Source organism: Homo sapiens, chromosome 19, assembly GCF_000001405.40.
Source record: "Homo sapiens chromosome 19, GRCh38.p14 Primary Assembly".
In the NCBI taxonomy this organism is placed as follows: domain Eukaryota; kingdom Metazoa; phylum Chordata; class Mammalia; order Primates; family Hominidae; genus Homo; species Homo sapiens.
Window position 1 is genome coordinate 8,882,873 of NC_000019.10, and position 14,989 is coordinate 8,897,861.

A 14,989-nucleotide genomic window follows, 5' to 3' on the forward strand; every position below is an offset into this window, starting at 1 on the left:
GGGAGGGCAGATAAGGGGGATGACATTAAATAGATTGCCTATGGGGAGGCATCCTGAGATTCCTGGGGGCAGGACAGGAAGGGGACAGAGGAAATGAGAATCCTGGTAGACAGGTGAGAAGCCATACTAAGATTCTCTGAATGCACCAACTTCCAGGCAGCCTGGGAATGTGAGTAGAGTCAGGAATACAAGAATTTTATAAAATTGCATTCTCATGGTATGGGGACAGGAGAGCCCAGACTTGAGAAATATTAAGAGCTGGAATTGGGGATGAAAGCAAGTGGATGGGGGATGTTTATCTTGAGAGAAACCTTGGAAGAGAATTTAACACCTGAAGGAGAGGGAGGTAGGGAGAAGTAAGAAATTCAGAAGGATGACCAAAGTAGAAGCCTGATCTGGCTGATGGGCCCTGCAAATTCTCTCGATTGATGGGGGAGGTGGTAGGATCAGCAGATATGTTCATCCTGGAGCCACCAACGCCTGAATTCCACTTGTGCTGAGGACTTCCATAGGGAGGGAAGGAAGAAAGCTGATGAAACTCCTTGGGCCTGGGAACACTTGGGGTAGCCAGACTGGTTATTCTCAGTTCTCACCTGAGCAAGGTCAGCCTGCAGCCAGAGTACAGAGGGCCAACACTGGTGTTCTTGAACAAGGGCCTTAGCTGTGGAGGAGGAAGAGGGAGGTGAGTAAGATGGCTGAGGACATAGAAGTGAGGAAGATGTAAGGTGGAAGGGGCTGTAATCAGGGGGCGGGGCTATCTCTCAGGTGAGGGGAGGTGGGTGAGATCTTCTTCCATGCCTTGGAATGGGTGACGTAGGTGGAACAAGACAAGGTGGGCAGGGCAGAGTGAGGTGGGCAGGGCTCTCACCAGGCCCTGAAGGACCCTCTCTGTAGTGTTGAACTTCCTGGAGCCAGGCCACATGTTCTCCTCATACCGCAGGTTAGTGATGGTGAAGTTGAGGGTGAATAGTATCAGGAGATGGCTGGCAGCTGTAGTGGAGGTGGGAAATAAACACTATGTTCAAAAGTAGAGAACATTTAAGAGTTTGTAATAGATTTATTTCTAAACATATGCAACCAGATTTAAAGAGAGTGATAAAATAGAAGGTTTTCATGCCTCCCTTGACTATAACGATCAAAGTTTTTCATAGAGCATGCTAAATAATAATAGTTAGATGCTGAGCATAACCTTTGGTGATGTTCTGTGTTCCATAATACTAGACACTATCTATTACCTTTGTTATCACCACCATCATCATCACCAACACTGTGACCATCATTTTCATTATTGTCATCACCACCACCATCAGGACAAAAACCATGATCTTCATAATCCCTATCATCTCCACCACCATCACCATCATCATCCACATCATCACCTGCACCATCACCACCAGGAACATGGTCACCAACACCATCACTGTTTCATCCTTACCATCATGACAATCACCACCATCATCCTCATTATCATCATGATCACCACCATCACCACCACAACCACAACCATGACGGTCCACATCACCACCACTAGTACCGTGATCACCAACACCATCATCACATCATCCTTAACCATCATAACCACCACCACTATCATCATCATCCTCATTGTCAATATCACCACCACATTGTCAATCACCACCACAACCACCACCATCACCACCACCACTGTCATCCTTCCCATAATCACCACCACCACTATCATCATCATCATCACATCATCATTACTGTCAAAACCACTACCATCATCAATATCATCATCATCATCTTCATAATCACCATCATCATCACATCATGGTCATAAGCATCACCATCATTATTGTAATCATCTCCAGCAACATCATCATCACCACTATCCCACATCATCCTCAAAATAAAAGAAGCTCTCTGAGGGCAGAGATTTTTACCTCTTTTGTGTTCCCTGCCTTATCTCTAGGGCCTGGCAGAGAGTGGGTACTCAAAGAAGTTTGTTGGGTGACTCATCATCAGTAAATTTGCTATGATTTTTAATCTTATTTGAGTGAAAAGGACAGAGATGTTGACACTCATCATGCATACTCTAATAGAGGTGCCATTGACTGGTACTTACCTGAAGGGCCAAATATCGAGGCTGGAGTCTTAGATGCTCCCAGATACACTGTGGGGGTCCCAGGAGCTGAGGAGAAGCCCGCATTGGTTAAAGCAGCATAAGCTCTTTCATGGCAGAAATGCCAGCAGATAGGAATATTTCTGCATGTGGGGCTTGAGATTAGTGTCTCTCTGGAGCTGGGCCAGAGGGAAAGGGAATCACTTGTGCCCTCTCAGATCTTTCCCTCATGAAGAAGATATAGGGGCATAGGAGAAGGGGGTCAGCTCCTGTCCTGCTTGGAGTAGGACTGGGGTTACTGGAACATTAGTAGAATACTCACTGCTGGTGGTGGACACAGAGCTCCGATGAGTGAAACCTGCATAGAGAGGGAGGGAGGAGAGTGGGAAAGGGTTAAGGGAAAGGTGGGGGACCAAAAGGGGTCAGTGCTACCATGGTGCAATTGAAGGAGTTTCAGGGAACATGGGCTTTGAGGATTCTATACAAGTACACTCAGATCAGGGAAGAAGGTCCTGAGGATGAAGGTCTCCAGTACAAGATGAAGAAGAAACGGTGAAGTTCATATCAATCATCAAATACAGACAACATGGCCAAGACCAGTGGCCAGGCAGGGAGAGTGACCTCAAGACAGAGAGTAGAGGCCTGCTCAGCAAGGAAGAAGAAACTCCAACCACATCACAATTGCTCACCATTGACAAAGAGGCTGTCGTTGTCCAGGGCATAGGGGCCCAGCTCAGTGATATTGTGGGTCAGCTGGCTCAGCTCCCAATACAGCTGCTCTCTGTCCAGCCTAGGGCTTTTGGGGTCAGGGTGGTGGGTGCAGATGGCATCCACTCCAGTGGCTGTCCCATCCTTTTCAGGCCTGGAGAGGGCAGGTGAGGGGAATAATAATAAAGTTTTGTCTAGGGAGGAGTCCCAAGATTGCTGAGGGAAGGACAAGAAGGGGCCACAGGAAATGAGAAGCCTGGTACACAGATGAGAAGCCACACTTAGATTCTCTGAGTGCACTGACTACTGTCCAGCTTGGGACGGTGAGCATACTTGTGGATAAAAGAATTTTTCTAACATTTCAGTGTGGTTCTTGCATTCTCATGGCATGGGGACAGGACAGCCTAGACTTGAGACAGGTGACAAGCTGGAATTGGGAATTAAACAAGTGAATGAGGCACATTTGTCTTGAGAGAAATCTTAGTTAGAGAATTTAACACCTAAGGGCAAGGGAGGTGGGGAGAAAAGAGGGAATTCAGAGGGATGGCCAGGGTGGAAGTCCAATCCTGCTGATGGACCCTGTGGAAACTCTCAGTCAATTTGGGTGTGATGGCAGGGGGCAGTGGTAATATTGGGAGACAGGTTAGTCTTGGAGCCACTGTTCCTTGAGTTCCATCTTTGATCAGAATAACCACAGAGAGGGCAAGAAAAAAGAAGTCCACACTCATGGAGACTGGGAACAATTGGGGCAGACAGGTTGGCAATTCTAAGGTCTCACCTGAGCAAAGTCAGTCTGCAGCCAGAGTACAGAGGGCCAACACTGGTGCTCTTGAACAGGGACCTGAGCTGTGGGAGAGGGAGAGGGAGGTGAGTAGGATGGCTGAGGGGGTAGCGTCAGGGGACTAGTCATTGGGGCTGGCACCAGTAGGCGGGCCTGGCATCAGTGGATGGGGGCTCACGGCTCTGGGTGTGAGAGGAGGTGGGTGAGATCTTCTTCCATGCCCTGTCATGAGTGAGACAGGTGGAACTAGACAAGGTGAACTGGGCAGAGTGAGATGGGCGGGGCTCTTACCAGGCCCTGAAGGACCCTCTCCGTGGTGTTGAACTTCCTGGAGCCAGGGTGCTGCATGTTCTCCTCATACCGCAGGTTGGTGATGGTGAAGTTGAGAGTGAATAGCACCAGGAGAGGGCTGGCAGCTGTCGTGGAGGTGGGAAAGAAACAACATGTTCAAAAGTGGAGAACTTTATATATTTCCAAAAGGCCTACTTCTAAACATATGCAACAGGATTTAAAGAGAGAATAATATAAAAAGTTTCCATGCGTCCCTTGACTATAACAACAGAAGTTTCTAACAAAGCCTACTAAATAATAGTAGTAGTTAGCATACCTCTTGGTGCATATTCAGAGTTCTATAATACTAAATATTATCTGTTACCTTTATTATTACCATTGTCATCATCAATGTCACCAACACTGTGACCCTCACTATTATTGTCATCACCACCAGCATCAGCACCACCCACATCAGCACCAAAATCATGACCAACAGTGTGGTAGCATCCCCACTACCATCATCATCATCATCACCACCACCACAATCATCATCATTTGCATCATGATCACCAGCACCATGATTACCAACACCATTGTCGTATCATCATTATTCTCATCACCACAACCACCATCACAACCATCATCATTATAATCATCATTATCTTCATTGTAACCATCACAATCACTATTGTCAATCACTACCACAACCGCCACCATCCTTACCACCATCATTCTTCCCATAATCACCCCCACAACTGTCCTGATCATCATCACATGATTACCATCATAACCACCACCACTACCATCATCATCATTATTCTCATTGTCAACATCGTCATTACTATTGTCAATCACTACCAAGACTACCACCATCACCAACACCACTATCATCCTTCCCATAATCACCACCACCATTGTAATCATCATCACAGCATCACCATCATAACCCCTGCCACCACCATCATCATCATCACCACCACCATCTTCATAATTATCATCCTTATCACCATCATCATCACTAGCATCACCATTCTTATTGTCATCATCTCCAGTAACTTCACCACCACCAACTCCCATCACCCTCACAATAAAATAAGCTTTCTTGCAGCAGATATTTTTAACTGTTTTGTGTCCCCTTCCTTATCCCTAGAGCCCTGCAGAAACTAGGCACTCAATTAAGTTTGCTGGATGACTCCTCATCCGTAGATTCACTAGGATTTTTTATCTTTATTTAAGTGAAAATGGCAGAGATGTTGACAGTCATCAGGCATGCTCTAACAGAGATGCGATTGATTTGTACTTACCCGAGGGACCAGGTTTAGAAACTGGAGTCCCAGATGTTCCCAGGTCCACTGTGGGGGTCCCAGGAACTGAGGAGAAGGCCTCATTAGTGAAAGTGTTGAACCCTCTCATGGCAGAAATGCCAGCAGGTAGGAGTATTTATGGACCTTGCTGCATGTGGGGCTTGAGCTGGGTCTCTCTCTGAAGAGACTTGGGCCAGAAGGGAAAGGGAGTAACTTGTGCTGTCCCAGCTCCTTTGCTCATAGAGGACATAGGGGCATGTGAGGAGGGGTCAGTTCTTGCCCTGCATGATGTAGGATCAGGAGCACTGGAAATCAGTGGATACTCACTGCTAGTGGTGGGCACAGAGCTCCGCTGTGTGAAACCTGCATAGAGAGGGAGGGAAGAGGGTGGGTAAGGGTTAAGGGAGTGGTGGGGAACTATATAGGGGTCAGGGTACCCTGGTGCAATGGAAGGAATTTCCCAGAACACGAACCATTGAAGATTCTCTATCAGCACCCTCAGATCCAGAAAGCAGATCCTGAGGATGAACTCAGTCCAAGATGAAATAGAAACCATGAAGTTCCAACCTCAGCCATCACATACAGACAACATGGATGAGCATTCAATAGCCAGGCAGGGAGCGTGACCTCAAGGCAGAGAGTAGAGGCTGCCCAGCAAGGAGGAAGAGACTCCAACCACATCACAACTACTCACCATTGACATAGAGACTGTCCCTGTCCAGGGTGTAGGGGCCCAGCTCAGTGATGCTGTGGGTCAGCTGGCTCAGCTCCCAGTATAGCTGCTCTCTGTCCAGTCCAGGGCTTTTGGGATCAGGGCGGTAGGTGCAGATGGCATCCACTTTGGTGGCTGCCCCATCCTTCTTGGGCCTGGGGAGGGCAAGATTGGGGAAAGACAATACACGGATTGCCTAGGGAGGGGTTCTGAGATCCCACAGGGCAGGACAGGAGGGGGCCAGAGGAAATGAGAAGCCTGGTAGAGAAGTGAGAAGCCATACTTCCATTCTCTGAGTGCACTGACTCTTAGCAACTATGAGCAGAATCATGGATGCAAGGATTTTTATAAAATTGCAAAGTGGAAACTGCATTCTTGTAGCATGGGGTAAGGAGAACTCATACTTGAGACAGGTGAAGAGCTAGGTTTGGGGATGAAAGCAAGTGGACGAGGCATGTTTTTCTTGGGAGAAATCCTGGGAACAGAATTGAACCACTTGTGGAAAGGCAGGTAGGGGAAAGGAGGGAATTCAGAGGGATGACCAAGGTAGAAGCTCAGTCCTGCTGATGGGCTCTGCATCTCTCAGTTGAGGTGGGAGGTGGTGGGAACAGGAAGCACATTGGTCTTAGAGCCACTGCCTCCTGGATTCCACCTGGCTGCGGACATCTCCAGGGAGTGCAGAAGGGAAGCAGGTCAAACTGCTCAGATCAGTCAGACTGGCTGTTCTCAGTTCTCACCTGAGCAAGGTCAGTCTGCAGCCAGAGTACAGAGGGCCAACACTGGTGTTCTTGAACACAGGCCTGAGCTGTGGAGGAGGGAGAGGGAGGTGAGTGGGAGGACTGAAGTCATAGGGGTGTGGTAGAAGGGAGGTGGGCAGGGCTGGCAACAGTTGGTGGGGCTGGCATCAGTGGTTGGGGTATGCATATCTGGGGGCAAGATGAGGTAGATGAGATCTTCCATGCTCTGCAATAGGTGAGGTGGGCAGGACTAAACATGGTGAGTGGGGTAGAATGAGGTATGTGGGGCTCTTACCAGACCCTGAAGGACTCTCTCCGTGGTGTTAAACTTTCTAGAGCCAGGGTGATGCATGTTCTCCTCATACCGCAGGTTAGTGATGGTGAAGTTAATTGTGAATAGCACCAGGAGAGGGCTGGCGGCTATAGTGAAGATGGGAAATAAACAGTGTTCAAAAGTAGACTAACACTTAAGAATTTGTGATAGAATTGTTTCTAAACATATGCAACATGATTTAAAGTGACAAAATAAAAGGTTTTCACGCCTCCCTTCACTGTAATGGTACATAGTTCTCATAGAGCATACTAAATAATAGTAGTTAGATGCTAAGCACAGCTCTTGGTGCATATTCAGTATTCCATACTACTAGACATTATCTACTACCTTTGCCAACACCACGATCATCATCAACATCAGCAACACTGTGACCATCGCTATCATTATTGTCATCACCACCAGCATCAGCACCAAAACCATGACCATCATAATCCCTATGATCCCCACCCATCATCATCATTACACCACCAGCACCACAACCATCATCATCCATATAATCACCACTAGCACATGGTCACTAACACCATTATCATATCATTCTTACTATCATAACCACCATCACCACCAACATCATTATCATCATCACCACCATCATTATCCTCATTGTCAACATCATGATCACATTGTCAATTGCCATCAGAACCATCACATCACCACCACCACTATCATCCTTCCCATAATCATCACCACCACTATCATCATCATCACCATCAAAACCACTACCACCATCATCATCATCATCACCATCATCAGCAACACCATCATTGTTGTCATCATGTCCATCATCCCTATCATTATCATCATCATCACAACAATATAACCTTCCTGAGGATAGAGATTTTTATTTCTTTTGTGTTCCCTGCCTTATCCCTAGGGCCCCGAAGAAGCCAGACGCTCAACAAAATTTGTCGGTTGACTTGTCATCACTAGATTCACTAGGACTTTTCATTTTTATTTGAGTGAAAATGGTGGAGTTGTAGGCCAGGTGCGGTGGCTCACGCCTGTAATCCCAGCACTTTGGGGGGCCAAGGCAGACAGATCACGAGGTCAGGAGTTCGAGATCAGTTTGACCAATATGGTGAAGCTCCACCTCTACTAAAAATATAAAAATTAGCTGGGCATGGTGGCATGCACCTGTAATCCCAGCTACTCAGGAGGTGGAGGCAGGAGAATCGCTTGAACCTAGGAGGCAGAGGTTGCAGTGGGCTGAGATCACGCCATTGCATTCTAGCCTGGGTGACAGAGCAAGACTATGTCTCAAAAAAGAAAAAAAAGAAAGAAAAGAAAATGGCAGAGATGTTGACACTCCTCAGGCATGCTGTAATAGAGATGACACTGAATAGTACTCACTCATGGGTCCAGACAGGGAGGCTGGAGTTCTCGAGGTTGCCAGGTGCATTGTGGAGGTATCAGGAGCTGAGGAGAAGGTTTGCTGTATTAGTGAAAGCAGCAAACCCTCTCATGGCAGAAACACCAGCAGGTAGGAGTATTTATGGCCCTTGCTGCATGTGGGGCAGTATCTCCATCTGGAGCTGGGCCAGAGGGAAAGGGGAATAACTTGTGCTCTCTCTTCCTTCCCTCATGAAGAGGATATAGGGGCATAGAAGGAGAGGTAAGCTCCTGCCCTTTATGATGTAGGATCAGGAGCACTGGAACATCAGTTAATACTCACTTCTGGTGGTCGTCATAGAGCTCTGATGGGTGAAACCTGCATTGAGATGGAGGGACGAGAGTGGGTAAGTGTTAAGGGAGTGGTGGGGTACCCTGGTGCAACAGAAGGAATTTCCCAGAACACGGGCCATTGAAGATTCTCTATCAGCACCCTCAGATTTAGAAAGCAGATCCTGAGGGTAAATTCAGTTTGAGATGAAGAAGAAACCACGAAGTTTTGACCTTAGCCACCACATACAGACAACATGGTTGAGCCTTCAATAGCCAGACGGGAAGTGTGACCTCAGGCCAGAGAATAGAGGCTGTCCAGCAAGGAGGAAGAGACTCCAACCACATCAAAGTTGCTCACCATTGACATAGAGACTGTGCCTGTCCAGGGTGTAGGGGCCCAGCTCAGTGATGCCGTGGGTCAGCTGGCTCAGCTTCCAGTACAGCCGCTCTCTGTCCAGTCCAGGGCTTTTGGGGTCAGGACGATGGGTGCAGACAGCATCCACTCTGGTGGCTGCCCCATCCTTCTCAGGCCTAGGGAGGGCAGATGAAGCAAATAACAATTTAAAAATTGCCTCAGGAGGAGTTCTGAGATTTCCTGGGGCCAGACAGGAAGGGGCCAGAGGAAATGAGAAGCCTGGGAAAGAGGTAATAAGTCACATTTAGATTCTCTGAGTGTCCCGGCTGCCAGCCAGCCCAGGACTGTGAACAGAGTCATAGATGCAAGAACTTTTTATAAAATTGCAAAGTAAAGCCTGCATTCTCATGGCATGGAGACAAGAGTACTCAGACATGAGACAGATGAAGAGCTGGAATTGGGGATGAAAGCAAGTGGATGAGGCATGCTTGTCTTGTGAGAAATCCTGGGGACAGAATTTAACAACTGGAGGAAAGGGAGGTGGGTGGAAAGGAGGGAATTCAGAGGGATGACCAAGGTAGAAGCACAATTCTCCTCATGGACTCTGCAGAATCTCGCAGTTGATTGGGGTGGTGCTGATGGTATCAGGAGACAGATTAGTTTTGAAGCCAATGCTTCCCGAATTCCATCTGTTGTGAGGACATTCACAGGGATGGCAGGAAAAAAAAAAACAATCCAAACTCTTTGCGACTAGGAACAATTGGGGCAGCTAGGCTAGCTCTTCTAAAGTCTCACCTGAGCAAGGTCAGTCTGCAACCAGAGTACAGAGAGCTGACACTGGTGTTCTTGAACAAGGGCATAAGCTGTGGAAGAGGGAGAGGGAGGTGACTAGGAGGGCTGGGGATATAGTGGTGGGGCACAAGTGTGGCGAGTGCAGCTGGCACCAGTGGGCAGGGCTTGTGTCTCTAGGGGAGATGGATGAGATTTTCTTCCATGGCCCTGGCATGGGTGATGTTGTTGGGACCAGGTAACGTGGGAGGGGCAGAGTAAGTTGGACAGGGGTCTCACCAGACCCTGAAGGACCCTCTCCGTGGTGTTGAACTTCCTGGAGCCAGGGCGACGCATGTCCTCCTCATACTGCAGGTTAGTGATGGTAAAATTGAGGGTGAATGGCAGCAGGACAGGGCCAGTGGCTGTAGTAAAAGGTGTGGAAACAAACACTATTGTGTTTGTTTGTATTTTTAATCTGTTGCATATAGTTAAAAATAAGTCTATTGCAAACTCCTCAAGTTTCTCGACTTTTGCAATAGACTTGAAGAGTTTGCAATAAGTTTATTTTTAATCATATGCAACAGAATTTAAAATGAATGACAAAATTAAAGGTTTCCATGCCCTTCTTGATAGAAATTATTTTTTTAAAAAGCATATTACATAATATTTGTTAGATTCTGAGCCCAGCTTTTGGTGCATATTCAGTGCTGAAAAATATCAGATATTACCTGTTACCTTTGTCATCACCATTATCATCATCATCATCATCATCATCACCATTATTGTCAGCATCAGCACCAAGACCATCACCACAACGATAATCCCCATCAATACTACCACAAACATCATTATCACCATAGTCATATCATCATTACCATCATAATCATCATCACTGTCATTATCTGAATAATCATCATCACGATCATTGTCATCATAATCACTATCGCCATCACTATTGTCATCCTCACCATCACGAATGTCACAATCCACATCAACACCACCACAAACATCATCATCATCACCATAATCACATCATCATTAGCATCATAACCAGCAACATTACTGTCATCATCCAAACAACCATCATCATCTTTACCATCATTGTCACCATTGTTATCATCACCACTCCAACATCATCACCACAATCAACACAACCGTCATCATCATCATTATTATTATCATTATTGTCAAAATCCCCATAATTATTGTCAATTGTAATCCCCACCACCACCATCATTCTTCCCATGATTACCACCAGCATAATCATCATTATCCTTACCATCACCACCACCACCACCACCACTGCAATCATCATCACCGCCACCCCCATCATCATCATCATCACAATAATATAAGCTCACTGAGGGCAGTGTTTTTTCTTTTTTTGTTCCCTGATGTATATCCAGGTCCTGATACAGAGGCAGTGCTCAATGAACTGGGTTGGTTGACCTATGGTTACTACATTTACTATGAATTTCCATCTTTAGTTGAGTGAATAATGACAGAGATGTTTACACTCATCAACCATGCTCTAACAGAGTATAAACAGAGATGTTTACACTCATCAACCATGCTCCAAATACCATTGACTGGTATTTACCTGTGGGGCCAGGGAGGGATGATGGAGTCTCAGAGGTTTCCGGCTGTACTGTGAAAGTCCCAGGAGCTGAGGAGAAGCCCTCAACAGTGAAAGGAGCAAGTGCTCTCATGGAAGTAATGCCAGCAGGAGGGACTATTCATGGGGATTTTTGCCTGTGGGGCTTCAGCTGGGATTCTGATTAGCTGGGGCAGTGGGGAAGGGGAATAATTTGTGTCCTCTATGTTCCTTCCCTTATGGAAAGGACATAAGGGCTTATGAATAGGGGTCAGCTCCTGCTAAGTTTGTTGTAAGATTGGGGCCATGGGAACATCAGTAGAATACTCACTGCTGGTGGTGGGCACAGAGCTCCGCTGGGTGAAACCTGCATAGAGAGGGAGGGAGGAGTGTGGATAAGAGTCAAGGGGGAGGTAGGGGGTCAAAAAAAAGTCAGGGCTACCCTGGTGGAATGAAAGGAGTTTCATGGAACAGGGGCCTTTGGAGATTCTCTGTCAGAATCTGAGTATCAGGGAAGAAGCTACTAAGGATGAAATCAGTTCAAGATAAAGAAGAAATCATGAAATTCTGACATCAATCACCACATACAGACGTGTCCTAGCCTTCAGTGTCCAAGCAGGGCATGTGACCTCAAGTAAGAGAGTAGAGGCTGCCCAGGCAGGAGAAAGAGACTCTAATCACATCAGAGCTGCTTACCATTGACATAGAGACTGTCCCTATCCAGGGTGTAGGGTCCCAGCTCAGTGATGCTGTGGGTCAGCTGGCTCAGCTCCCAGTATAGCTGCTGTCTGTCTAGCCCAGGGATTTTGGGGTCAGGGCGGTGGGTGCAGATGGCGTCCACTCTGGTGGCTACTCCATCCTTCTCAGGCCTGGGGAGAGGTGGTGAGGGGAATGGCAATAAATGAATTGCCTAAGGAGAGGTCTTGAGATGGCAGAGTGTAGGACAAGAAGGACAGAGGAAGTAAAAAGTCTAATACAGAGGTGGGAAGCAATACTTAGATTCCCTGAGTGTACTGGACTGCTTGGGACTGTGAGCATAGTTGTGGATATAACAGTTTTCCCAAAATGGCAGGGTGGATCCTGCATTCTTAAAGCATGGAAACAGGAGAGCTCAGACTTGAGATAGCTGAAGAGCTGGAATTGGGGATGAAAACAAGTGGTTGAGGCATGTTTGTCTTGAGAGAAATCCTGGTTACAGAGTTTAACACCTAAAGTCAAGGGAGGTGGGGGGAAAACAGGGAATTCTGAGGAATGGCCAGGGCAGAAGTCCAGTCCTGTTGATGGACTCTGGAATCTCTCAGTCAGTTTGGAAGTGGGGGCGGGGGCACTGCTAATACCAGGAGACAGGTTAGTCCTGGAGCCAGTTTCCTGGATTCCATCTTTGATAAGAATAATCACAAAGAGGACAGGAAAAAAGAAGTCCAAACTCATTGAGACTAGGAATAATCGGGGCAGCCACACTGGAAATTCTAAGGTCTCACCTGAGCAAGGTCAGTCTGCAGCCAGAATACAGAGGGCCAACACTGGTGCTCTTGAACAAGGGCTTGAGCTGTTGGGGAGGGAGAGGGAGGTGAGTGGCAGGGCTGAAGAAGTAGAGGCACGGCAGAAGTGAGGTGGGTGGGGCTGGCTGTAGTTGGTGGAGCTGACATCAGTAGGTTGTATGGGGCTTTTATCTCTTGGGGTGAGGGGAGGTGGGTGAGATCTTCCATGGCCATATAGGTGACATAGGTGGGACTAGGTAAGGTGGATAGGGCAGAGTGAGATAGGTGGGGCTCTTACCAGACCCTGCAGAACACTCTCCGTGATGTTGAACTTCCTGGAGCCAGGGTGACCCATGTTCTCCTCATACTGTAGGTTAGTGATGGTGAAGTTGAGTGTGAATGGCACCAGGAGAGGGCCGGTGGCTATAGTGAAGGTGGGAAATAAACACTATGTTCAAAAGTAGAGAAAATTTAAGAGTTTGCAATAGACTTATTTCTAAACATATGCAACAGGATTTAAAGTGAGTGATAAAACATAATGTTTTCATGCCTCCTTTGACTATTATGATAGCTGTTCTTGAGAGAGCACATTAAATAGTAGTTAGAGGCTGAGCATAGGTCTTGGTGCATATTCAGTGTTCCATAGTGCCAGATACTATCTAGTGCCGTTGTTAACACCACCTTCATTTTCAACATCACCATGATTGTCTCCATGAGTATTATTATCATCACCACCATCAGCACCAACCCCAACACCACCACCACCATCATCATTATCACCATTAACACCACAACCATCATCATCCCAATCATCACCTCCATCACCATTATCATCATCACCATCATCACTGTCAATATCACCATGATTGCCACCATCAGTAGTATTATTGTCATCATCACCACCACCATCATCATCATCATCATCACATAAACAGAAGCTCACTGAGGGCAGAGATGTTTTTACTGGTTTTATTTTCCTTGCTGTATCCCTAGGGTCTGGTACACTGTAGGTGGCCAATTAATTTTTTTGGTTCACTCACTATCACTAGACTTATTATGATTTTCTATCTTTATTTGAATGAAAATGGCACAGACGTTTACATCAGGCATGCTCTAACAGAGATGCCATTGACTGGTACTTACTTGTGGGGCTGGGGACGGGGGATGGAGTCCCTGAGGTTCCAAGGTCAACTGTGGAAGTCCAAGGAGCTGAGAAAAAGTCCTCATCAGTGAAAGCAGGAAGCACTCTCATGACAGAAATGGCAAGAGGGGAGACTATGGGGTCCGCTGCCTGTGTGGCTAGAGATGGGTCAGTCTTTGGAGCTGGGGCAGAGCAGAGCTTGAGTAACTGCTGCCCTCTTATCTCCTTTGCTGAAGAAGAGGACCTATGGGTTTATGAGGAGGAGTAGCTCCTGTTCCGCTTGGTGTAGAATCAGGGGCATGTGGACATGAGTTGAATACTCACTGCTGGTGGTGAGCCCAGAGCTCCGATGGGTGAAACCTGCATAGGGAAGGAGGCAGGAGAGTGCGTAAGGGTTAAGGAGACATTGGCAACCAAATAGGGGTCAAGGCTACCCTGGTGCAAAGGAATGAATTTCATGGTACGGGGCATTTGAAGATTTCCTATCAGCATCCTCATATCAGCAAAGAATGCCCTGAGGGAACACAATCTACGGTGATAAAGAAACTATGAAGTCCAGAACTTAGTCATCCCATGTAAAACAAGTGACAGAATTTTCAATTGCCAGGCAGGAAGTGTGACCTCTAGTTAGAGATTAGCTGCTGCTCAGCAAGGAGGAAGAGACTTCAACCACATCACAGCCACTCACCATTGACGTAGAGACTGTTCCGGTCCAGGGTGTAGGGGCCCAGCTCTTTGATGCCATTGGTCATCTGGCTCAGCTGCCAGTACAGCTGCTCCCTGTCCAGTCCAGGGCTTTGAGGGTTAAGGTGGTGGGTGCAGATGGCATCCACTCCAGTGGCTGCCCCATCCTTCTCAGACCTGGGGAAGGTAGGTGGGGAGAATGACAATGAAAAGATTACCTAGGATGGGTCTTGAGATTGCTGAGAGAAGGACGGCAAGGAACCAGAGGATATGAGAAACCTGGGAAAGAGGTGAGAAGCCACACTTAGATTCTCTGAGTGCGCAGACTACTGGCTTGTTAGAGACTGTGAGCAGAGTCATGAATACAAC

General features: G+C 47.1%; 1 protein-coding gene across 4 annotated transcripts in view; it reads right to left on the reverse strand.

Moving 5' to 3' along the window:
* The window catches only part of MUC16 (mucin 16, cell surface associated), a gene marked incomplete in the record, with an annotated part of 216,908 nt that overhangs the window by 34,029 nt on the left and 167,890 nt on the right, over positions 1 to 14,989 (reverse strand). For 3 of the 4 annotated variants that reach the window (NM_001414686.1, NM_001401501.2, NM_001414687.1), the window contains 30 exon segments: positions 594 to 661; positions 869 to 990; positions 2,087 to 2,152; positions 2,406 to 2,441; positions 2,773 to 2,945; positions 3,570 to 3,637; positions 3,864 to 3,988; positions 5,150 to 5,215; positions 5,477 to 5,512; positions 5,844 to 6,016; positions 6,599 to 6,666; positions 6,894 to 7,018; positions 8,283 to 8,348; positions 8,605 to 8,640; positions 8,953 to 9,125; positions 9,745 to 9,812; positions 10,018 to 10,142; positions 11,321 to 11,386; positions 11,646 to 11,681; positions 12,011 to 12,183; positions 12,796 to 12,863; positions 13,094 to 13,225; positions 13,228 to 13,233; positions 13,364 to 13,372; positions 13,392 to 13,394; positions 13,396 to 13,398; positions 13,400 to 13,405; positions 13,937 to 14,004; positions 14,261 to 14,296; positions 14,625 to 14,797. In NM_001414686.1, coding sequence (NP_001401615.1) covers positions 594 to 661; positions 869 to 990; positions 2,087 to 2,152; positions 2,406 to 2,441; positions 2,773 to 2,945; positions 3,570 to 3,637; positions 3,864 to 3,988; positions 5,150 to 5,215; positions 5,477 to 5,512; positions 5,844 to 6,016; positions 6,599 to 6,666; positions 6,894 to 7,018; positions 8,283 to 8,348; positions 8,605 to 8,640; positions 8,953 to 9,125; positions 9,745 to 9,812; positions 10,018 to 10,142; positions 11,321 to 11,386; positions 11,646 to 11,681; positions 12,011 to 12,183; positions 12,796 to 12,863; positions 13,094 to 13,225; positions 13,228 to 13,233; positions 13,364 to 13,372; positions 13,392 to 13,394; positions 13,396 to 13,398; positions 13,400 to 13,405; positions 13,937 to 14,004; positions 14,261 to 14,296; positions 14,625 to 14,797 — 2,373 coding nt within the window. 4 annotated transcript variants of the gene reach the window in all.